The sequence below is a fragment of the Homo sapiens genome, chromosome 6 (genome assembly GCF_000001405.40).
Source record: "Homo sapiens chromosome 6, GRCh38.p14 Primary Assembly".
NCBI lineage: Eukaryota > Metazoa > Chordata > Mammalia > Primates > Hominidae > Homo > Homo sapiens.
In genome coordinates, this window is record NC_000006.12 from 15,701,089 (window position 1) to 15,702,108 (window position 1,020).

Sequence of the window (1,020 nt, forward strand, 5' to 3'; positions counted from 1 at the left end):
GCATTCCAAATGGATTTTGGGGATAAACGTCTTCACGTTTATGGAGATAAGCATGAATAGAAGGAGGGAGGCAATCATGAATGATACATGTTACCATAATCATATGTATGTAAACTACAACACATCAAACTATGTCTTATGTTGAGAAAAACAGTTGGAATTTAAGTGTTTCCAATGTGTTATTTGTTAAGCTAGTGTCTCTCAGCTTTGAACCTATAGTTCCATATCCTGTTTTGTGATGCAGGCACTCTGCAAACCTTTCTCTTTATTGGTTGGTTCCTTTAGGCTCTGCTAATTGGGCACTAGAGAGAGACTGTGGGGTTGGAGGGGGAAGACAAGGTGCTCTCTTTTCTCTTTGCTTCAGAGTCACCTTAGCTATGCTACTTCACTTGCCAGCAGCAGTTCCCTCCAGAAGCAGCATGATTCCAATTTGCTGACTTACTAAAATGTAGAGAACCAGCCTTATCATGCACTCCTAGAGATGTGGCCTCAGTGAACAGGAAACCCCCTCCCTTCCTCATAGGTCTGGGTCTCAGCTCCTGAGGACCCTCTTCCAGATTTCTGAAGCACCAGCATTATCTGGGCAACAGTCGCTCTTCAGAGGTCTGAATTCCAGTCTGTAGGGACCCATTCTTCAAGACTGTCAGTTTCAATAATTCCAACCTTTTTCTTTAGTTCCTCAGTTCTAGTGGGGATAGCTGTGTCCTATGGATGTGGTAAGGCATCTCTGAGATACCTTACTGTTCCTTCATTGCCTTTTTAGTTGTTCCATATCTGGCCAGCAATTCCTGATACTACTTTCTCTCTGTTAAGCTAACTGGGGTGGTTTCTGTCTTCTTATGGGATCCTGACCAATACAGCTTCCTAAAACATTAAGATTGGGAGGGTCAATGTTAATGTTCATAAAATACACATGGCTGGTTGCTGAAAATTTTGGGCAGGTAAGAGGGAGAAATTCCTTTTTTATTCCCAGCTCTGGGAGCTTTCCTAATAGTCCAGTGGACCAGGCTATATAGAAAC

At 42.7% G+C, this 1,020-nt stretch overlaps 1 annotated feature.

The window, feature by feature from the left end:
• Positions 236-436: a silencer, noted in NCBI's record as "peak5686 fragment used in MPRA reporter construct". NCBI's record gives its function as "represses an SCP1 promoter by STARR-seq MPRAs in K562 erythroleukemia cells {active_cell/tissue: K562}" and the evidence as "EXISTENCE:reporter gene assay evidence [ECO:0000049][PMID:32103011]".